This window comes from Homo sapiens, chromosome 11, assembly GCF_000001405.40.
Source record: "Homo sapiens chromosome 11, GRCh38.p14 Primary Assembly".
Taxonomy (NCBI): domain Eukaryota; kingdom Metazoa; phylum Chordata; class Mammalia; order Primates; family Hominidae; genus Homo; species Homo sapiens.
In genome coordinates, this window is record NC_000011.10 from 6,946,975 (window position 1) to 6,970,746 (window position 23,772).

A 23,772-nucleotide genomic window follows, 5' to 3' on the forward strand; every position below is an offset into this window, starting at 1 on the left:
TAACATCTTATTTAAATTCTGTGGATCACAGTTGTGGCAAATGGGATATCTCAGAGTTTTGTTTTTTACTTTTATTCATGGTGTCTGCCACACTTTTTTAAAATTTATGTAACTCTGTATTTCCCCATTGTTTTATATCTGTTCATTTTACACATGTTTTTCCATCTTAAAACTAGGAAACATTTTCTGATTATATTCTACTTTCATCTATCTCCTCATCTAAACATAAGAAATTAATCTGGAATTTACTTCAATAAATGTAACTTATTTTCTCAAATAGTTAATGGATTGTGGTGGATTAAAGATGACCACAAAATCTATGTCATAGTCTCCATCATGATGTAGACTTTGCCAAGGCAGGAGGACTTCTTGAAGCCAGGAATTCAAGACCAGACTGGGCACCATGGCAAGACTCCATCTCTACAAAAAAATAAGCTGGGCATGGTGGTGCATACCTGTAATCGTAGCTGCTTGGAGGATTGCTTGAGTTCAGGAGTTGGAGGCCGCAGTGAGCTATGATTGTATCACTGCATCCCATCCTGGGCAACAGCAAGACCCTGTCTCTAAAATAAATAAATAAATAACAAAATAAAAAACAGTGAGGAAGTTATATGAAAAATGAGTTGTACAAACATGAGTAACAAAGATTTAATTAGGGAAATACAATTGGAAATTCTGCTATTACATAAATACTACTAGAACACTGTTTTTGGTTATCTGTTACTTTTAACAGATTACCCAAAACATAGTGACTTAAAAGAGCAATCATTGTATTCTCAAATTTTGTGAGTTGACTGAGGAGTTCTTATGTTCCATACGATGTTAGCTGGGAATGCAGCATTCCAGGGCTCAAATGGGATGGAATGTCCAAGATGGCACATCACATGGGTGGTAGTTAATGCTGGCTGATTCTCAGAACTTAACTGTTCTTATGGGCCAGAGCACCTGCATGTGGCCTCTCTTTGAGGCTTGGGCTTCTCACAGCAAGGTGGCTGGGTTCTAACAGGCAACATCCTGAGAGAAATCAGAAGATGTCACCTTAAAGACTAGGTCTAGAAGTGGTATAGTGTCACTTCTGCCACATTCTGTTGGCTTAGCAATCATTGGATCTGCCCAGATTCAAGGAGAAGCAGAATAAACTCTACTTCAGGATGGGGAGTGTGGCAAAGGATGTGCAGCCATTTTGATCTACCATAATCTGTCCTCTGGCTACAAAATATTTGTGTTCTTCTCCCTTGCAAAATATATTTACTCTCTCATAATAAGACCCCCAGAGTCTCACCTACTATGGCATCAAGGTTGAAGTCTAGGATCTCATCTAAATTAGGTCCAGGTTTAGAAGACATTTCTCTCTCTGAAGACTTGTGAATTAAAGGAACAAGCTATCTGCCCCCACACACCCAGTGTACACTGGTGAGGCGGAGACAGGAAATTTTATAAAATAATAGAACCAAAGCACAGATTTGATATGGGAGACGAAGGACAATGGTTATTGTTTTTTTATGGACTCCAGTATAAATATTAGAAAAGCAAAGACTCAAAAATGAAGACACTGAAGTTTTTTCAATATGGAAGATGACTTCAGTCTCTCATTTGTTAAGCTAGAGGACTATGATAGTCAAGTGGAGATGTCCTAGAAAGTGATGAAAACAAGGAACAGTAATGTATGTGAGTGCGAAGCTGACATGATTTGGTCACCAATAAATGTTGGAGAATAAAATTATTAGGCATACTTGAAGTTACAAGAAAAAAGTCAGTGAAATTTAATTTTTTTATTTTTATTTTATTATTATTATACTTTAAGTTTTAGGGTACATGTGCACAATGTGCAGGTTACACTTGTATACATGTGCCATGCTGGTGTGCTGCACCCATTAACTCGTCATTTAGCATTGGGTATATCTCCTAATGCTATCCCTCCCCCCTCCCCCCACCCCACAACAGTCCCAGAGTGTGATGTTCCCCTTCCTGTGTCCATGTGTTCTCATTGTTCAATTCCCACCTATGAGTGAGAACATGCAGTGTTTGGTTTTTTGTCCTTGCGATAGTTTACTGAGAATGATGATTTCCAATTTCATCCATGTCCCTACAAAGGACATGAACTCATCATTTTTTATGGCTGCATAGTATTCCATGGTGTATATGTGCCACATTTTCTTAATCCAGTCTATCATTGTTGGACATTTGGGTTGGTTCCAAGTCTTTGCTATTGTGAATAGTGCCTCAATAAACATACGTGTGCATGTGTCTTTATAGCAGCATGATTTATAATCCTTTGGGTATATTCCCAGTAATGGGATGGCTGGGTCAAATGGTATTTCTAGTTCAAGATCCCTGAGGAATCGCCACACTAACTTCCACAATGGTTGAACTAGTTTACAGTCCCACCAACAGTATAAAAGTGTTCCTGTTTCTCCACATCCTCTCCAGCACCTGTTGTTTCCTGACTTTTTAATGATCGCCATTCTAACTGGTGTGAGATGGTATCTCATTGTGGTTTTGAGTTGCATTTCTCTGATGGCCAGTGATGGTGAGCATTTTTTCATGTGTTTTTTGGCTGTATAAATGTCTGTTCATGTCCTTCGCCCACTTGTTGATGGCGTTGTTTGTTTTTTTCTTGTAAATTTATTTGAGTTCATTGTAGATTCTGGATATTAGCCCTTTGTCAGATGAGTAGGTTGCGAAAATTTTCTCCCATTTTGTGGGTTGCCTGTTCACTCTGATGGTAGTTTCTTTTGCTGTGCAGAAGCTCTTTAGTTTAATCAGATCCCATTTGTCAATTTTGGCTTTTGTTTCCATTGCTTTTGGTGTTTTAGACATGAAGTCCTTGCCCACGCCTATGTCCTGAATGGTAATGCCTAGGTTTTCTTCTAGGGTTTTTATGGTTTCAGGTCTAACGTTTAAGTCTTTAATCCATCTTGAATTAATTTTTGTATAAGGTGTAAGGAAGGGATCCAGTTTCAGCTTTCTACATATGGCTAGCCAGATTTCCCAGCACCATTTATTAAATAGGGAATCCTTTCCCCATTGCTTGTTTTTGTCAGGTTTGTCAAAGATCAGATAGTTGTAGATATGCGGCGTTATTTCTGAGGGCTCTGTTCTGTTCCATTGATCTATATCTCTGTTTTGGTACCAGTATCATGCTGTTTTGGTTACTGTAGCCTTGTAGTATAGTTTGAAGTCAGGTAGCGTGATGCCTCCAGCTTTGTTCTTTTGGCTTAGGATTGACTTGGCGATGGGGCTCTTTTTTGGTTCCATATGAACTTTAAAGTAGTTTTTTCCAATTCTGTGAAGAAAGTCATTGGTAGCTTGATGGGGATGGCATTGAATCTATAAATTACCTTGGGCAGTATGGCCATTTTCACGATATTGATTCTTCCTACCCATGAGCATGGAATGTTCTTCCATTTGTTTGTATCCTCTTTAATTTCATTGAGCAGTGGTTTGTAGTTCTCCTTGAAGAGGTCCTTCACGTCCCTTGTAAAGTGGATTCCTAGGTATTTTATTCTCTTTGAAGCAATTGTGAATGGGAGTTCACTCATGATTTGGTTCTCTGTTTGTCTGTTATTGGTGTATAAGAATGCTTGTGATTTTTGTACATTGATTTTGTATCCTGAGACTTTGCTGAAGTTGCTTATCAGCTTAAGGAGATTTTGGGCTGAGACGATGGGGTTTTCTAGATATACAATCATGTCATCTGCAAACAGGGACAATTTGACTTCCTCTTTTCCTAATTGAATACCCTTTATTTCCTTCTCCTGCCTGATTGCCCTGGCCAGAACTTCCAACACTATGTTGAATAGGAGTGGTGAGAGAGGGCATCCCTGTCTTGTGCCAATTTTCAAAGGCAATGCTTCCAGTTTTTGTCCATTCAGTATGATATTGGCTGTGGGTTTGTCATAAATAGCTCTTATTATTTTGAGATACGTCCCATCAATACCTAATTTATTGAGAGTTTTTAGCATGAAGGGTTGTTGAATTTTGTCCAAGGCCTTTTCTGCATCTATTGAGATAATCATGTGGTTTTTGTCTTTGGTTCTGTTTATATGCTGGATTACATTTATTGATTTGCGTATATTGAACCAGCCTTGCATACCAGGGATGAAGCCCACTTGATCATGGTGGATAAGCTTTTTCATGTGCTGCTGGATTTGCTTTGCCAGTATTTTATTGAGGATTTTTGCATCAATGTTCATCAAGGATATTGGTCTAAAATTCTCTTTTTTTGTTGTGTCTCTGCCAGGCTTTGGTATCAGGATGATGCTGGCCTCATAAAATGAGTTAGGGAGGATTCCCTCTTTTTCTATTGATTGGAATAGTTTCAGAAGGAATGGTACCAGTTCCTCCTTGTACCTCTGGTAGAATTCGGCTGTGAATCCATCTGGTCCTGGACTCTTTTTGGTTGGTAAGCTATTGATTGTTGCCATAATTTCAGAGCCTGTTATTGGTCTGTTCAGAGATTCAGCTTCTTCCTTGTTTAGTCTTGGGAGGGTGTATGTGTCGAGGAATTTATCCATTTCTTCTAGATTTTCTAGTTTATTTGCATAGAGGTGTTTGTAGTATTCTCTGATGGTAGTTTGTATTTCTGTGGGATCGGTGGTGATATCTCCTTTATCATTTTTTATTGAGTCTATCAGAGTCTTCTCTGTTTTCTTCTGTATTAGTCTTGCTAGTGATCTATCAATTTTGTTGATCCTTTCAAAAAACCAGCTCCTGGATTCATTAATTTTTTGAAGGGTTTTTTGTGTCTCTATTTCCTTCAGTTCTGCTCTGATTTTAGTTATTTCTTGCCTTCTGCTAGCTTTTGAATGCATTTGCTCTTGCTTTTCTAGTTCTTTTAATTGTGATGTTAGGGTGTCAATTTTGGATCTTTCCTGCTTTCTCTTGTGGGCATTTAGTGCTATAAATTTCCCTCTACACACTGCTTTGAATGTGTCCCAGAGATTCTGGTATGTTGTGTCTTTGTTCTCACTGGTTTCAAAGAACATCTTTATTTCTGCCTTCATTTCGTTATGCACCCAGTAGTCATTCAGGAGCAGGTTGTTTAGTTTCCATGTAGTTGAGTGGTTTTGAGTGAGTTTCTTAACCCTGAGTTCTAGTTTGATTGCACTGTGGTCTGAGGGACAGTTTGTTATAATTTCTATTCTTTTACATTTGCTGAGGAGAGCTTTACTTCCAAGTATGTGGTCAGTTTTGGAATAGGTGTGGTGTGGTGCTGAAAAAAATGTACATTCTGTTGATTTGGGCTGGAGAGTTCTGTAGATGTCTATTAGGTCTGCTTGGTGCAGAGCTGAGTTCAATTCCTGGGTATCCTTGTTAATTTTCTGTCTTGTTGATCTATCTAATGTTGACAGTAGGGTGTTGAAGTCTCCCATTATTATTGTGTGGGAGTCTAAGTCTCTTTGTAGGTCACTCAGGACTTGCTTTATGAATCTGGGTGCTCCTGTATTGGGTGCATATATATTTAGGATAGTTAGCTCTTCTTGTTGAATTGATCCTTTTACCATTATGTAATGGCCTTCTTTGTCTCTTTTGATCTTTGTTGGTTTAAAGTCTGTTTTATCAGAGACTAGGATTGCAACCCCTACCTTTTTTTGTTTTCCATTTGCTCGGTAGATCTTCCTCCATCCTTTTATTTTGAGCCTATGTGTGTCTCTGCACATGAGATGGGTTTCCTGAATACAGCACACTGATGGGTCTTGACTCTTTATCCAATTTGCCAGTCCGTGTCTTTTAATTGGAGCATTTAGTCCATTTACATGTAAAGTTAATATTGTTATGTGTGAGTTTGATCCTATCATTATGATGTTAGCTGGTTATTTTGCTGGTTAGTTGATGCAGTTTCTTCGTAGCCTCGATGGTCTTTACAATTTGGCATGATTTTGCAGTGGCTGGTACCGGTTGTTCCTTTCCATGTTTAGTGCTTCCTTCAGGAGCTCTTTTAGGGCAGGCCTGGTGGTGACAAAATCTCTCAGCATTTGCTTGTCTGTGAAGTATTTTATTTCTCCTTCACGTATGAAGCTTAGTTTGGCTGGATATGAAATTCTGGTTTGAAAATTCTTTTGTTTAAGAATGTTGAATATTGGCCCCCACTCTCTTCTGGCTTGTAGAGTTTCTGCCAAGAGATCCGCTGTTAGTCTGATGGGCTTCCCTTTGTGGGTAACCCGACCTTTCTCTCTGGCTGCCCTTAACATTTTTTCCTTCATTTCAACTTTGGTGAATCTGACAATTGTATGTCTTGGAGTTGCTCTTCTCAAGGAGTATGTTTGTGGCATTCTCTGTATTTCCTGAATCTGAATGTTGGCCTGCCTTGCTAGATTGGGAAAGTTCTCCTGGAAAATGTCTTGCAGAGTGTTTTCTAACTTGGTTCCATTTTCCCCGTCACTTTCAGATACACCAATCAGACGTAGATTTGGTCTCTTCACATAGTCCCATATTTCTTGGAGGCTTTGTTTGTTTCTTTTTATTCTTTTTTCTCTAAACCTCCTTTCTTGCTTCATTTCATTCATTTCATCTTCCATCACTGATACCCTTTCTTCCAGTTGATCGCATCAGCTCCTGAGGCTTCTGCATTCTTCACATAGTTCTCGAGCCTTGGTTTTCAGCTCCATCAGCTACTCTAAGCACTTCTCTGTATTGGTTATTCTAGTTATACATTTGTCTAAAATTTTTTCAAAGTTTTCACCTTCTTTGCCTTTGGTTTGAATTTCCTCCTGTAGCTTGAAGTAGTTTGATCATCTGAAGCCTTCTTCTCTCAACTCGTCAAAGTCATTCTCCGTCCGGCTTTGTTCCGTTGCTTGTGAGGAACTGCGTTCCTTTGGAGGAGGAGAGGCACTCTGCTCTTTAGAGTTTCCAGTTTTTCTGCTCTGTTTTTTCCCCATCTTGGTGGTTTTATCTACTTTTAGTCTTTGATGATGGTGATGTACAGATGGGTTTTTGGTGTGGATGTCCTTTCTGTTTGTTAGTTTTCCTTCTAACAGACAGGACCCTCAGCTGCAGGTCTGTTGGAGTTTGCTAGAGGTCCACTCCAGACCCTGTTTGCCTGGGTACCAGCAATGGTGGCTGCAGAACAGCGGATTTTTGTGAACCAGAATGCTGCTGTCTGATCGTTTCTCTGGAAGTTTTGTCTCAGAGGAATACCCGGCCGTGTGAGATGTCAGTCTGCCCCTACTGGGGAGTGCCTGCCAGTTAGGCTGCTCGGGGGTCAGGGTTCAGGGACCCACTTGAGGAGGCAGTCTGCCCGTTCTCAGATCTCCAGCTGCGTGCTGGGAGAACCACCGCTCTCTTCAAAGCTGTCAGACAGGGACATTTAAGTCTGCAGAGGTTACTGCTGTCTTTTTGTTTGTCTGTGCCCTGCCCCCAGAGGTGGAGCCTACAGAGGCACGAAGGCCTCCTTGAGCTGTGGTGGGCTCCACCCAGTTCAAGCTTCCTGGCTGCTTTGTTCACCTAAGCAAGCCTGGGCAATGGCGGGAGCCCCTCCCCCAGCCTCGCTGCCACCTTGCAGTTTGATGTCAGACTGCTGTGCTAGCAGTCAGGGAGACTCCGTGGGTGTAGGACCCGAGCCAGGTGCAGGATATAATCTCCTGGTGCGCCATTTTTTAAGCCTGTCGGGAAAGCGCAGTATTAGGGTGGGAGTGACCCGATTTTCCAGGTGCCATCTGTCACCCCTTTCTTTGACTAGGAAAGGGAACTCCCTGACCCCTTGCGCTTCCCGAGTGAAGCAATGCCTCGCCCTGCTTCGGCTTGCGCAGGGTGCACTGCACCCACTGTCCTGCGCCCACTGTCTGGCACTCCCTAGTGAGGTGAACCCAGTACCTCAGATGGAAATGCAGAAGTCACCCGTCTTCTGCGTCACTCACGCTGGGAGCTGTAGACCGGAGCTGTTCCTATTCGGCCATCTTGGCTCCATATATGAAATTTAATTTTTAAAAAATTGCTAGAATATAGAGTATACAGAGTATATAGAAGCTAAATGAGAGGAATTTTGAGAAAGGAAGTGGAACATAATTAAATAAAACGGAAATGAGGACAGGTGAAAGGAAGAGACCCAATCTTAATTAGAACGGTAAAGTTTTGAATTCTAGGAAGTACAGTAGAAAAGTACCAAAGCACTAATGTTGGAATTGGGAGTTATTTTGAGCCCAGAAAAAGGACTTCCTGCTATCTTATATTAGAGTTCTTTTTGCCTTTGTTATATGTAGGGAGTAATTGTGGCTGTATGGAAAATGGGGGCACTATGATTGCAAGTTTGCTTTTAGCTGGTTAAGGTATGGTGCCTGGGAATACAGACATGTTCTTAAAATTATTACTGGTGTTTTATAGAAAGGAATATTTATTGGTAAACAGCTTGGGATAAACAAGATGCTAGAAGAAGGAATATTAGGCAGAGACTTCATACACTAGTTACGAACCAGTGATAACTTGAATTATGATATGATATGCCACCCGCATCCTTGTTCATGTAAAGATATTTTACTCGAGCCCTATACCGTTTTTTTAGTATTCCAGAATAGCTCTCCTATTTTATTTACTAACCTCCTTTTAACATTTTTGTACCATTTATTTCTTTTATAAGTATTTTTTTCTAACCTTGCCTCACATTTCCATTCTGTATTTAAGACCCGTGGTATATGCATATACCTTATACAGTTCAGCCTCCATTTCCTATTGAAGCAGTTTCCCTTCTAGTTCATGGCATTTTTTATTTCTCTTTAGACATGAAGAGTATTTCTGGAGAAGAATCATCCCATGGAGTGATTATGACAAGGCTTACCGAAAGTGGACACCCTTCTTCAGATGCCTGGAAAGGTGAGAATTGGTTATATAGGAACCAGAAAAAATGGGACATAAATTTGCCACAAGAGGCTTTCATTCCTGAGACAATTTACACTGAGGAGGAAGATTTTGAATGTAGTGAAAATAAGAAAAGCTTTGATATTAATTCAGTTAGCTCAATTTGTGCTATACAAGTGGGAATTCCTTCAAGAAAGGGGTCTCCAAAATGTGATAAGTTTAAAACTTACTTCAAATTTAATTTAGACTCAGTAGGTAAGCAACATTCAGAATATGAATATGGGAATGACTTGAGTTTGAGTACAGATATTCGACACCAAAAAAGTCATACTACAATGAATTCCTATGAATGTTATCAATGTGGGAAAGCCTTCTGCCGAAGTTCATCCCTTATTCGACATCAGATCATTCACACAGGAGAGAAACCCTATAAATGCAGTGAATGTGGGAGATTCTTCAACCGACGTACAAACCTTACTAAGCATCAAAAACTTCATGCTGAAGCAAAGGCCTGCACAAGCAATAAATGTGGAAAGGCCTTCAGTAAAAGTGAAGACAGTAATAATCCAACACTCCATTTTGGAAACAATTTCTATCAATGTGTTAACTGTGGAAAATCCTTCAACCGGAGCTCCTCTCTTATTCGACACCAAATGATTCACACGGGAGAGAAACCATTCAAATGTAAGGAATGTAGTAAAGCCTTCAACAGGAGTTCAAACCTTGTTAAACATCAAAAACTGCATACTCGAGATAAGTCCTGAAAAAAGAAAAAATGAAAGATTACCTTCAGTCAGAATGCAGAACTCATTTAACATCATGAATTTATGCTGGATAAAATCTCATGAATATAATGTAAGAAAACATTTGTCAGATTTTTCTTTAAATGATATCACAGAATTAATGTTGGATAGAAATATCATTGGATAGAAATCTGTTTGAAGGAATTTTCCTGGTTTTCAGATGAAGCCATAAGGCTTTGGAGTTAAACCACAGTATCACCATACAAGTATTTGTTTATCATTATTTTGATATCCATTACCCTCACCTCTCCCTAGTTCATAAATAGGTCTATAGCATACTAATATCCACCTGATTTATTGACGAAGTAGACATTAGGCAAAGCCAAACAATACTCTTGGAGTTGATATTTAATAAAACTCAGCCCTTTTAAGAAGGTCACAAGAAATCATTAGCTCATGCGAATATAAGAGAATACTTCTAAGGACAGAAATCTCTGAATCAATGGCTAAGACAACAGTAACAGCCATTTACTCCACTCCTGACAATACCCTTTGTTGTCTTGCTGTTGAATGGAGACTAGAGTTGGGAAAGGGTTATCAACTGCAATGGGAGAAGTATGTATTGCTGTTAATCTATATGTATTCTTAAAATCTGCATTTGTTTATAGCAGGTCCTTGAAAAATGTTTTTGTTTTGTTATAATGTTATAATTGTTATGATGTTGATGAGAAAAATATCGATTCCCAGCCAGGGACACTGTGTGGAGTTCGCACACTCTCCCTATGTCTCCGGGTGCTCCAGTTTCAAACCCCAAAGATGTATACATTAGGTTAATTGACATATCTAAATTATCTCAGTCTGAGTTTGTGAGGAAGTGTGCCCTGCAGTGGAATGGCTCCTAATCAGGGTTTGTTCCCACCATTGCCCTGAGCTGCTAGGATGCGCTCTGTCCACCCATGGCCCTGTACTGGAATAACAGGGTAAATAATTATCTTATCTGTTTTTATTAATCCGTCTTAAATGTGTATATAGCTCAGATTTATTTTAATGTCTGATATTGGAAGCGTTTGGGGTCTTTAGAAGTTTGATGATGTTGTGACCAGACATTTGCCTTAGGAACTTAACTCTTGTTTGTATCCATTAGTCTATGGTAAAATTGGTTTTGTTATACATCATTTCACTTAAAGTTGCAGTTCCTAAGAACCTATTGATGATGTTCAGTGCAGACTTACTGTACCTTTGGGAATTTAGGCTGGAGAGACGTCCATAGCCTTAGGTATATCATTTATACCAGACATTATGAAGTTATTAAAGTCTCCTATACTCTGTACACCAGAACTGTGTCTTCTGTAAACTACCTCAGGATCCCATCTGGTTCTTGAGCCAAGAAGTATGACTTAATCTGCCCCAAAAAATTCACACTGGAGACATTCCCAATTAATGATGATGGTAGCTTTTTGTGAAGGTTCATACCTTATTCAAAGGCAGAAAAGGTATACTGGAGTGAACTCCTATGATTAAATAATGTCAAAATCTATGTTTGTTCATCCTTTATATTGCAACACAAGTTTTATTAGGACAAAGCCCTACATAAGTAATTGATATAGAAATTCGTATAAACAAGAGATAACTTGTAGAGAAGCCTAACAAGAGAAAAGCACTCTGAATGTAAAAAATTCTTGAGGTATGTTCATTCATCATAGTACTTACATTAAATACAATGGATTCTGACTTTTTAAATTTAGGTATTCCAAGTCCAATATTTCAATTTTTGAAAATAAGCTGTGATTTTCTTTTGGATGGTTGAAAGATAGAAGTACTATTTTCACTCTTTATCTTTTCTTTGAACAACTAGCTATTTGAGCCTAAGTAAAATACTTATTTTTTTCTCCTAAATCTCCAAGCTTTCTTAAAAAAGTGTTTACTATGTTCACTAAGTTTAACATAACATAGTTTCAAATAATAATTTTTGGAGTGCATTTAAAGCTCTTGCAGAGCATTTATAGCCAATTAACATCTTCTCGCAGCCTTGTTTCACAAGCCTGTTTATTTAGTACATTGTATTAGCGTTCTCTAGAGGGACAGAACCAATAGGATAAATGTATATATAAAGGGGAGTTTATTAAGGAGTATTGATTTACACTGTCACAAAGTGAGGTCCCACAATAGGCTGCCTGCAAGCTGAGGAGCAAGGAAGCCAAGTCCCAATTTTACATAAGAGTCCAAGTCCCAAAACCTCAAAAGTAGGGAAGCTGACAGCGCAGCCTTCAGTCTGTGGTTGAAGGTCCAAGAGTCCCAAAGCTGAACTCGGAGTCTGATGTTCAAGGGTAGGAAGCATCCGGAACTGGACGAAGTAGTAGGCTGGAAGACTAAGCCAGTCTAGTCGTTCCAATTTCTCCTGCCTTTTATTTTGGCCACACTGGCAGCTGATTAGATTGTGTCCACCCAGATTGAGGGTCGGTCTGCCTTTCCCAGTCCACTGACTCAAATGTTAATCTCCTTTGGCAACACCCTCACAGTCACACTCGGGAACAATACTTTGCATCCTTCAATCCAATCAAGTTGGCACTCAATATTAATCATCACATATTTGAGTTTTACTATATACCATCAAAGGTCGATATCTAAGCTGAAACATGAAGAGTGTAGATTAACCAGATTGTGTCTGGCAAGTGTGGAAATGTTAGGAGAGATGATAAAGGCAAAACGAGGGGCACAAAGCTATAAAGGGATGAGGGCATGGCAAGTTCAGGAAACATAAGTTCATCTACTAGAATACAGCATTGGGAAAGAATGGAGCTTTCATTTCATAGAGGTAAAGCTACAGAGAGACTCAAGGGGCACATCATGAGAGGTCTTGTAAGCCACTTTAGAAGTTTGAGCTTCAGCCTAAAGGTAATAGTGAGATAAAATTGTTGTTAATTCCATGTTTAGTACTCTGAAAATGCTAATTGAAGTAACAAGATAAAACTCCAAAGGAGGAGAAAATCATTTGCTGCTGATATGGTTGACTCATGACAACCTAATAAAATTCGTTGAAAAACTGTTAGATTTAATAAATGAATTTAGATAAGGTAAATATAGCAACTTTGCTCAAAAATAATCTTGAATAAGAGGAAAGCTGTGTCTGGAATGAGAAGACTACTATAGAGATTTTGAGTCTCCACACATTAAACTACAAATGAAAAATTCTAATCAGATATTCAATGGGGAGGATTTATTTCACAAAGTGATTATAAAGTTTACTTTGTAGAAGTAAGAAAATAGCTGTGACCATTTTTTTAAAAGCAAGGTAATGAGAACATTACTAGTAACATAGTGTGATACTAGTCTATTCACATGTGTGAGACAATTGTTTATAACTAGACCTAGGTGTTTATAAGAATTTAGCATATCGTAAATTGTCACTTCAAATTAGAGTGGAAACTATTCAATATTTACATATATATCATATACAGATGTATACATATATGAATATATATGATATATGTTGATATATTTTTTGAAAATTTGACCATGCTGTGGAAAACTGGTCTAAAAAGTTAAATGCCAATCTCAACCAATAAACAAGGGAAATGTTCTATTTTCACTAATACTAAAAAACTTAAAGATCACATATTGGGCTGATAGACAACATATAAAAGGAATAATAACACTCAGTTTTAGTGGGACTCTTAAGAAATGTAACTCACATGCCACTATGGGAATGCAAATAATTACTAACTTTCTGGAGGGCCAACTTGACAATATATATTGAGAGCGTTTAAAAAGTCAAGTTACAGGAGGGAACAGCGCAAGTTAGGATTCAAAAAATCACAAGACCATATGAGCTCCAAAGAGTGACAAAGAATGCGCAGTCTGCATAAAGGAAGAGCAATGGGAGTTGAAGAAAAGACCAGCATCCAGCCTACAAAGAGGAAGAAAGGAGCTCCATAACTCAGCCTGAGCAAGCGAAAAACAAGTTTGAGTCAAGAACCACCAGATTCCCACTCAGCAGCATCAACAATCACTGAGAGGTGAGGCCAAAGATGAGGATAATAGGGTAAAGCAAGTGCTTCACCCAGGCTCTCTTCCTTCTACTTAAATATATCATAAGCACCTTACTAGGCTGTCCAGCTATTTCATTTTTAGAGAGTTGTAACCCAGGTGTCATTGCCATAGATTGCCCTGGATCGATACCCTGATTACTTCACTCGTCACTCTGGCACTGTGGAATTAAATGATTAAGAGCAAGAAACCCATTTCCAGGGCAACAGCTTTTACCATCATCTCCAGCCTTCAGAAAATGGACACTACAGAGCTCTTCAGGGTTGCCTTTGCTTCTTTTTCAAAATATCTTTAAATCTTTGGTGAAGAGAGTACTAAACTGATTCCAATATTCTATCACCCTGGACCTTTGGATTCTTCTCTCTATGGTATGTCAGAGAAGTTTTGTTATTAGCTGTAGGTCAAATTTGACTCTAGGCTTTAATTAGCCAACTTACCAGAATAGGTTGCTCTTTCTGGTGTTTCCATTGAATGCCAGAATTAACAGAATAGGTTACTCTTCTGGTGATTTCATTAAATCCCAGGTTTCAGATGTTTGCATCTGAGACAATAAATCCAACCCAAATGTAACTTACATTTGGTCCATCGTAGAATTTGCTCCCACATGTATTCTCCAGGCTTTTTGCTAATAGAATTGCCAAGCCTGTAACTCTTAAAATAACAGGTATTTCCTTCTGTAGGAACAAAGAATGCTTGCATTTTTTTCTGTCAGGGTTATATTCAGATCTAAGTCTCATTATGACCCTGGAGCCAATGACAAGTGGTAGGGGTGGGAGCTGAAGAGAATTGGTATCAGCTTGTAAGGCAAATGTAAGGTGTAGTCAAGAATATGCTTTAATGGAGAGAAGGTCTGATACCTTCAAGTGGATAAGGAGTACCATTTCATTGGCAAGAGAGATTCAAAAGAATGGGGTGCCCAAATTCTCAGCTTCATCAGTGTCTGCCCAAATACCTTATGTAATATTCTCACCAGTTCTCTTACCTTCACTGTCACCAGGATATGCATTTAATTGGTGCGGCAATTCTGCAACACTTTATGTTGAGTAGGGTTTGATTGTCAGCCATATCTACCTTACAGCCGCTGGGTTTCAGACTGCCATCGGGCCTTTTGGTTATCCTCTTTTGATTCTTAATTGTGTATTCACAGCTTTTAGTTGCTCTTCTTCCATATGTTCATTCCCTAGGGTGACAGAATCCAGGTGGCTCCACATATTTAAAAATCATTTTTTTCCACCATAACTAATGCCACAACCACTTGCACTCTCGACACCTTGTCCTTTACCTGCACTTTTATTCTATTCTAACAGTGATAATCTGAGAAATCTTGATGTCCTCAAATGCCAATGTTTCCCCAACAGAAAGGTTATCCCTGTGCTTTTCTGCAGCCTAATGCTGAATCCTGCTTAGAGGATCTATTTTGTAGAGCCGCTTTGGTCCCAATCTTTGTTTTCCTCTGGGTCAGCAGGAAACAGATGTCATTCTCAATTTTAGAATAAGAATAGTTTAATATTACGGGACTATTTTTAAAGGTGTGGGCAAAGCTTAGGGAAACCATAAGAAATAGGAAAATACCCAAAAGCTAGTAATAAGGGTTTTTTTTTGTTTGTTTGCTTTTTAATCCTTAGGCCTGAAAAGGCAAGACAAAGGAGTCATCACCAGAATCTAGGAGTCATGTAAAGAGGGCACTTTGGTAAGAGCTGCAACCTGAGATCTAGGAAAGCAGCAGTCAAAATCAACCCTCTTATCTCCTGCCAGGGACTCCCATTGGCTATAGCCATGGAGTTAAAGAACCCATTGATGTCATCCATTTAGGCCAGGCTCCCAGAGAGGAGAAAAGTGGAGAGTGGATCTAGAAGGGAGAATAGAGGATATCTGGTATGGGATCCAAATTGATCTGATAAGGGACTTAGAGTGAACCCCAGCCCTTTTATATATTATCTATGATTCACATCCTTGGAAGTCCAACTCCTTCTTGGACTGGTTTCTGTACTCTATTATGTTATCTACAGCAAGTGGAAGTGTATTTTTTAAGTTTGACTGTTCATCTCACTTGGTAATGCTTGGTGTCTTCACCTTGTAATATAGTGTCACTGGTTCTTACAGGGTGGTCCCCAGACCAGCAGCATCAACATCTGTTGGGATTTGTTACAAATATCAGTCCTTGGGCCCCAGTGCAGACCTAATCAGGCAGAAATTCTGGAAAATGGACAGTAATTTTTCTTGTAACAAGCCCTCTAATTCTGATGCAAGTTTGCAAACCTCTGATCTAAGCTTGACATCTGGGCCTAATCTTACCAATGACGCTGATTGTAAGTTTCAGTAATGTTTCTAAAATTGGCCTTGCATCAGCTATCACCTATATTTTTCCTGTGTCATGTTGTGTGTCATAAGTCCTTGTTTCTGAAGGGCCCTTGTATTCTAGGTTTCTCTTCAGTATATTCAGTATATTCAGAAACTATCAATTCTCAAGCAAATTAACAGCTCTACCCATTTTCTTAGTGCCCTTTATTTCTAGTCTACTCATCCATCTTTCCTGGGCATGGGCATTTAATTAGTGAATTCAATTGAATTAATCACACAGTCATGTAACTACCACCATAATCCATATATAGGACAGTTCCACCACTACAGAAAATTCTCTCCTATTCTTTTATAGTCAAGCTGTTCCCCCAACCCCAGCCCTCATGACCCCTGATTAGGCCTATCTATATATAATTTTACCTTTTCAGAATGTGATATAGGTGGTTTCATAGAGTATACAGGTTTCTTAGTCTGGCATCTTTCCCTTAGCCTACCTAATTGAGATTCAAACATGTTATTGCATGTTATTTATTGCTGAGTGGCAATAAAATAAAATTGCTATTAAAATATGGTTACATATATTCTACACTATATATGAACCATCTGAGTTCTTCACATATATGTGTTATTCATTTTAAATTTGTTATTCATATATATAGGAATAACTCATTCATTCACCAGTTGAAAGACATTTGGATTGTTGCCAGTTGGAGTTAAATATAAAAAAAGTTACAAATATATATATAACAGTTTGTGTTAAGATATGTTTTCATTTATCTTGGTATATACCTAGGTGTGAGATTGTTGTGTCCTATGGTAGGTGTATGTTTATCTTGATAAGAAACTGTCAAACTATTTTACAAAATGACTGTATCAATTGGCATTCTGACCATAATGGATGAGAGTACCTGATGTTCCACATACTAACATTGGATATTCCCAGTTTTGCTTTGCTTTAGCTATGGTGTACTAGAATAAGCTCACATTGGCTCACAAAAAATAACTGTTAAATTATCACAAATTTTGTGAGCTAAGTGAAATTATGTTATAGCTTGGAATCAACCAAGATTTACACCACAGAAACAAATGCTGTTAATCCGGGTTTTTTAAATGTTTTCTGGAGACCTAGCTAAACATTTACCATACCACTATGTTAGCAATTGTAATAAGTATGTAATAGTACCTCATTATCACTTCAATTTGCATTTTCTGAATGACTATATTTTCATGGGCTTATTTGTCATATATTTTTGATGAAATGCCTTCTTAAATCTTTTGGCTATTTTTAAATCTAGTTGTTAAGTTTTGACAGTTTTTTATATATTCTAGATGGAAGTCATTATTGGATATGTATTTTGTGTAAATATTTTTTGCACAGTCCATGGCTTGTCCTTTCATTTTAAACAGTGTCTTTCAAAAAAGTTTATAGTGTTGATGAAGTTCATTTTATCAATTGTTTCTCTCATTGATTGTGCTTTCACTGTCATACCTAAAATATTTCTCCTGTTTTCTTCTAGAAGTTTTAGAGTTTTAAGTTTTACATTGAGGTTTATGATCTATTCTTAGTTAACATTTGTACATTATGTGAGGTATGGGTCAAGCTTTATTTGCTTATGGATATCCAGCAGTTTCTGTACTATTTGTAGAAGACTGTAGATTGAATTACCTTTGAACATGTGTCAAAAGTCAGAGAACAGTTATGTCAGTCCATTTCTGGAGTCTGTTTTCTTTCACTGATCTTTGTGCCTATCCTTTCAGTAGTACATTAGTCTCTTGATTAATGAATATTTAGCCTTGAAATCAGATCATGTAAGTCTTCTTAGGTCTTTTTTTTTTTTTATTTTTAATGTCTTTGGCTTTCTTGTTCCTTTGCAGTTCCATATAAATTTTTAGACTTAGCTTATTTCTACAGAATAATCAAGATGAGTTTTTATTAGGGTTGCATTAAATCTAAAGATCTTCTTTTGTATATGTGTCTTTTAACACTGTTTTACATAAATTAGTGTGTGTATTCATGCACTGAAATAACATTCTCAAATGAGTGCCCAAGTAACAATCTAAGAAACTCTTTTATACATTTGTATTTAAACAAAGTTTTACATGCATTACATCATAGTGAATACATTCATTTACTGAAATAATACTACCAACAAGCTGTACAAGTAGAACTCCTACATCATCTTTTATACATGGGTCTTTACATGCATCATTTGTGGTGAACTCAGATGTGGCCTCCATATTAATGTGAGTAAACAGTGTTGAAAGACAAAGATGCAGAAGAAATATCTGAGTGAAACTTCCACACCAAATTGAGAACAGTGTTATTTCAGTAAAGGCATATTGAACACGGTAGTACATGTTATACAGAGTTTAAAGTCACACATGTAAAAGTGTTGCTGAGAGTGCCGCTTGTGTACCAGGTTGAAAATGGTGTTATTTCAGTGACTGGAGGTATTCACTAGTATGCAATGATGTAAAACCTGTTTTTAAACACGTGTATAAAAGATGTTTCCAAAGTGCTACATGGACATCAATTTGAGAAACATGTTTTTAGTGTACAAATGTGTTCACTCTATTCAAACAATGTTTAAAGATACCTAAATAAAAGATGTTTCTAGAACTATTTATAGACAAATCTAAAGATCAATTTTGGGAAATTTCACATCTTAAAAATACTGTGTCTTGCAATATGTAAACATGGTGTGTCTTAAGGTTTTTTATTTCTTTTATCAGTCTTCTGTAGGTTTCAGCATACAGATCTTACAAAGATTTTGTTAGATATACTTCCATGTAATTAACATTTTTAGTACATTATAAATAGTACTGTTTTTATAACTTGAATTTCCATTTGTTTATTCCAGTGTATACAATTATTTCATATTGACTTAGCTTCCTATGAGGGTGCTAAATTCATTCTAGTAGTTTTTTGTGATCTCATTGAGATTTTTTTATATAGTCAATCATGTCATCTGTGACTATTTTTTAGTATTTTAGTTCTGTCTTCAGTATACTGGTCTTTTTCTTGTATGCCTTGGTCTAGTTTGGATTAGACTAATGCTGGTATAATTAGGTGAGTTGGAAAGTTGTTCCTTATTTTCTATTTTCTGGAAGAATTTCAGTAAAACTGGTATTATTTCTCCTTAAATATCTGATAGAATTATCCAGTGAAGTCTTTAGGCTTTGAGCTTCCTTTGTTGGAAAGTTTTAAATTATGAAATCTATTTTTTAAGAGGTATAGAGCTATTCAGGTTGTTTCTTCTTGAGTGAGCCTTAGCACTTGGTGTCTTTCAAGAATATACCATTAAATATTACACAGCCATAAAAAAGAATGAAATCATGTCCTTTGCAGCGGCATGGATGGAGCTGGAGGCCATAATCCTAAGCAAATTAATGCAAGAACAGAAAACCAAATACCGCATGAGTACACATGTGCACAAAGTAGAGAACAGTAGACATCGGGCCTAGCTGAGGGTGGAGGGTGGTATGAGGATGAGGATGGAAAAACTACCCATCAGGTACTATGCTTATTATCTGGGTGATGAAATAATTTGTACAGCAAACCCTAGTAACACACAATTTACCCATGTAACAAACCTGTACATATCCCCCCCAAACTAAAATAAAAAATAAAAGTTGGAAAGAAAAAAAAAATGTTTATATCATCTAAGTTGTGGAATCTATAGGCATAATATTCTATGGACAGAATTGTTCACAATATTACCTTGTTTTCCTTTTAATATCTATAGGATCTATAGTCCCTTCTTTCCTGATAGCATAACTTGTATTCTCCATTTATCTCTTAGTCTGGCTACTGGTTTATCATTTTCATTGATTATTTTTCTATTTTTAATTTCATTTTTATTATTTTGTTCCTTCTGCTTGATTTGGGTGTACTTTTTTGTTTCTTAAGGTAGATGCTTATTTTTTTTTAAGTATATGGGAAGTTGACATTTCTTTTATTATTTATTACACTTTAAGTTCTGGGATCCATGTGCAGAACAGGCAGGTTTGTTACATACGTATACACGTGCCATGGTGGTTTGCTGCATCCATCAACTCGTCATCTGCATTAGGTATTTCTGCTAATGCTATCCCTCCCTGATTCCCCTACCCACCGACAGGCCCTGGTGTATGATGTTCCCCTCCCTGTGTCCATGTGTTCTCTTTGTTCACCTCCTACTTATGAGTGAGAACATGCAGTGTTTGATTTTCTGTCCTTGTGTTAGTTTGCTGAGAATGATGGTTTTCAGCTTCATCCATGTCCCTGCAAAGGACATAAACTCATCCTTTTTTATGGCTGCATAGTATTCCATGGTGTATATATGCCACATTTTCTTTATCCAGTCTATCATTGATGGGCATTTGGGTTGGTTCCAAGTCTTTGCTATTGTGAATAGTGCTGCAATAAACATACATGTATGTGTGTATTTATAGTAGAATGATTTATAATCCTTTGGGTACCCAGTAATGGGATTGCTGGTCAAATGGTATTTCTGGTTCTAGATCCTTGAGGAATCTCCACACTGTCTTCCACAATGGTTGAACTAATTTACACTCCCACCAACAGTGCAAAAGCATTCCTATTTCTCCACATCTTCTCCAGCATCTGTTGTTTCCTGACTTTTTAATGATTGCCATTCTAACTGGTGTGAGATGATACCTCATTGTGGTTTTGATTTGCATTTCTCTAATGACCAGTGATGGTGAGCTTTTTTTCATATGCTTTTTAGCCACATAAATGTCGTATTTTGAGAGGCATCTGTTGATACCCTTTTGTTTGTTTTTTTCTTGTGGATTTGTTTAAGTTCTTTGAAGATTCTGGATATTAGCCCTTTTTCAGGTGAATAGATTACAAAAATTTTCTTCCATTCTGTAGGTTGCCTGTTCACTCTGATGATAGTTTCTTTTGCTGTGCAGAAGCTCTTTAGTTTAATTAGATCCCAATTTGTCTATTTTGGCTTTTGTTGCCATTGCTTTTGGTGTTTTAGTCCTGAAGTCTTTGGCCATGCCTATGTCCTGAATGGATTGCCTAGGTTTTCTTGTAGGTTGTGATGGTTTTAGGTCTTACGTTTGTCTTTAATCCATCTTGAGTTAATTTTTGTATAAGGTGTAAGGAAGGGGTCTAGTTTCAGTTTTCTGCATATGTCTAGCCACTTTTCCCAACACCATTTATTAAATAGGGAATCCTTTCCCCATTACTTGTTTTTATCAGGTTTGTCAAAGATCAGATGGTTGTAGATGTGTGGTGATATTTCTGAGGTCTCTGTTCTGTTCCATTGGTCTATATATCTGTTTTGGTAGTAGTACCATGCTGTTTTGATTACTGTAGCCTTGTAGTATAGTTTGAAGTCAGGTAGCCTGATGCCTCCAGCTTTGTTCTTTTTGCTTGGGATTGTCCTGGCTATATGGGCTCTTTTGTGGTTCCATATGAAATTTAAAGTAGTTTTTTCTAATTCTGTGAAGAAAGTCAGTGGTAGCTTCATGGGGATAGCACTGAATATATAAATTACGTTGGGCGGTATGGCCATTTTCACAATATTGGTTCTTCCTATCCATGAACTTGGAATATTTTTCCATTTGTTTGTGTCCTATCTTATTATACATTTCATCTCCTGATTGCTCTGAATTACACTTTAAGCTCTCTGTGTGGCTCACATATATGGAGCCTTTTTTTTTTTTTTGAACAGGCACTCTGGTATGTAACAAGGTTTGAAATCAAATTTAAGCCTGGGCACAGTGGCTCACACCTGTAATCCCAGCACTTTGGGAAGCCAAGGTGGGTGGATCACTTGAGCCCAGGAGTTCAAAACCAGTCTGGGCTAAAGGGCAAAATCACATCTTTACAAAAAACACAAAAGTTAGCCAGGCATGGTGTCACATGCTCATAATCCCAGCTACCAGGGAGGCTGAGGTGGGAGGATCACCTGAGCCCAGGAGGTTGAGGCTGCAGTGAGCCATGAGCATGCCATTGAACTCCAGCCTGGGCAACAGAGCGAGACCCCATCTCAAAAAAAAAAATTTAAATTACTTATAATTCATGTCCCTTTTTCCTGGGTAAATGTTTTAATAAAACAAGGCTTGAATAAAACAAGCTGCTTCTGGTTTTCCAAATGCCTCTCTGATTGTTCATTACATTCTATGATTTCTTTGCATGGGAATTAGTCACTGGCCATATCTTTCCATTATTATGCCATGTGCTGATTCTTCCTAATAAACTGGGTACTTTGGTGTTGAATCACTGGATTTGATTCAGGTTTCCATTTCTAAATGAAATCCAAAATGTGAATTTATTCCATGTCCTTATGCTTTTAAGAAAGAAAGAAAGCCCTCATATTGACAATTAGAATCTCAGTAACAGTGACTTTGCTTCCAAGGATAAACTTGTAAGCTGTGAAAGAACATGTCAAGCATATTGTCACTTTAAGTCCATTGCAATTTCTGTTTACTTTCCTGTATCAAATTTTCTCCAAATATACATTTGAGCTACTCCTTGTGGAATTAAGAAAACTCACATTTTTCCTGATTATCTTAATCTCTGATTACTGAGGTATGATTGCCACCACAGAGAAAAAAGCTCTACTAAAAAAAATACTTTTTTCCAAAAGCAAACAAGAAAATTTTCAACCTATGTGTACAAATAACTTGAATGTACTCCATTTTAAATTTTGACTTTGGAATCATATAAATGTTTAATTAAACATAATTGCATCAGTAAAGTGAAAATAGCTAAAAAAAAAATGTAGTTAAAACAAATGAACCCAACTATATATTGGTAGCAAAAGCACAGAATTATCTCAAGATTTAAAATATAGTATACTTATTAAACATGATGGATTATATCCTAAGAAAAAAAATTGCAAAGAGCTTTAAACTACATACTAAGGCTCTCATCTTTTCATAACTAATATTAGCATTGGTAGTCTGTTATTTTTTATTTTTTGAGACGGATTCTCGCTTTGTTGCCCAGGCTGGAGTTCAGTGGTGCAATCTTGGCTCACTGCAGTCTCCACCTCCTGGGCACAAGCAATTCTCCTGCCTCAGCCTCCTGGGTAGCTGGGATTACAGGCACCCACCACCATGCCTGGCTAATTTTTTGTATTTTTAGTAGAGATGGGGTTTCACCATGTTGGCCAGGCTGTTCTCAAACTCATGACCTTAAGTGACCCGCCTGCCTGGGCCTCCCATAGTGCTCGGATTACAAGCGTGAGCCACTGTGCCTGGCCAGCATTGGTATTTTGAAATATATATCACCCCCTATGACATATTCTTGTTAAAACAATTAAACCTCAATCTATTCAAGCTTCTAGGTCTGCAAGTGCAGAAAAACATGGAAATACGAATAATACAAGATGCTGATAACACTACAAAATGCAATCAGTGAAATAAAAATGTAAAAATTTGTACAGAAAAAAATGATCCAATTTCTTTAACAAAATGCATGAGAACAAGTTATAGATGACAAGCAACTTAAGAGGCATATTAACCAAGTCCAATGTTTTGCCCTTCTTTAGATCCTGATATGAACAAATCTGTGAAAAGACATTCTTGTAACAAGTGGGGAAAATTGAACATGGACTAAGTGTTAGAAAATATTTGGGATTTACTGCTATTAACTTTGTTAGGTGATAAAATGTATTTTGGTTATTTTTTAATCCTTGTGTATTAACAGTACACACTAAAGTGTTTACGGGCGAAGTAATGCCTAGGATTTGCTTGAAAATACAGAGAAAAACAAGGGATAATTTAAACAAGAATGACAAATTATTGACATTATTTGAAGCTTGGTGATGAATAAGTGGGCATTCATTATACTGTTCTCTGTATTTTTGTGTATTTTTGAAATTTTCCATCCTGAAAAGTTTTAAAAATAACTTACCCTCTCTATCTC

General features: G+C 37.5%; 1 protein-coding gene and 2 long non-coding RNA genes across 22 annotated transcripts in view, besides 1 other annotated feature; 1 reads left to right on the top strand and 2 right to left on the bottom strand.

Annotated features, from left to right (window-relative positions):
* Nucleotides 1–497, bottom strand: part of LOC107984019 (uncharacterized) — a 49,559-nt gene extending 49,062 nt beyond the window's left edge. For both annotated transcript variants that reach the window (XR_001748111.2, XR_001748112.3), the window contains exon 1: nt 456–497. This is a non-coding gene — a long non-coding RNA (uncharacterized LOC107984019). The remainder of the gene's footprint in view (nt 1–455) is intronic.
* Nucleotides 1–23,772, top strand: part of ZNF215 (zinc finger protein 215) — a 67,998-nt gene that overhangs the window by 20,549 nt on the left and 23,677 nt on the right. For 13 of the 19 annotated variants that reach the window (XM_047427569.1, XM_047427566.1, NM_001354856.2 and 10 more), the window contains one exon: nt 8,716–11,073. In XM_047427569.1, coding sequence (XP_047283525.1) covers nt 8,716–9,557 — 842 coding nt within the window. In that variant the 3' untranslated portion in view covers nt 9,558–11,073. Of the gene's footprint in view, nt 1–8,715; nt 11,074–23,772 lie in introns of those variants that run through there. The other 6 variants (XR_002957191.2, NR_149005.2, XM_047427572.1 and 3 more) reach the window with 1 other exon arrangement.
* Nucleotides 7,072–7,573: an enhancer, noted in NCBI's record as "H3K4me1 hESC enhancer chr11:6975277-6975778 (GRCh37/hg19 assembly coordinates)". NCBI's record gives its function as "activates a minimal SCP1, AML or CMV promoter by ChIP-STARR-seq in naive H9 embryonic stem cells {active_cell/tissue: H9 hESC(naive)}" and the evidence as "EXISTENCE:reporter gene assay evidence [ECO:0000049][PMID:30033119]".
* Nucleotides 8,719–16,257, bottom strand: LOC102724711 (uncharacterized). Its single transcript, XR_002957236.2, has 3 exons — nt 14,566–16,257; nt 9,267–9,553; nt 8,719–8,800 (listed from the first exon to the last, which is right to left on the bottom strand). It is a non-coding gene; the product is annotated as an uncharacterized LOC102724711 (long non-coding RNA).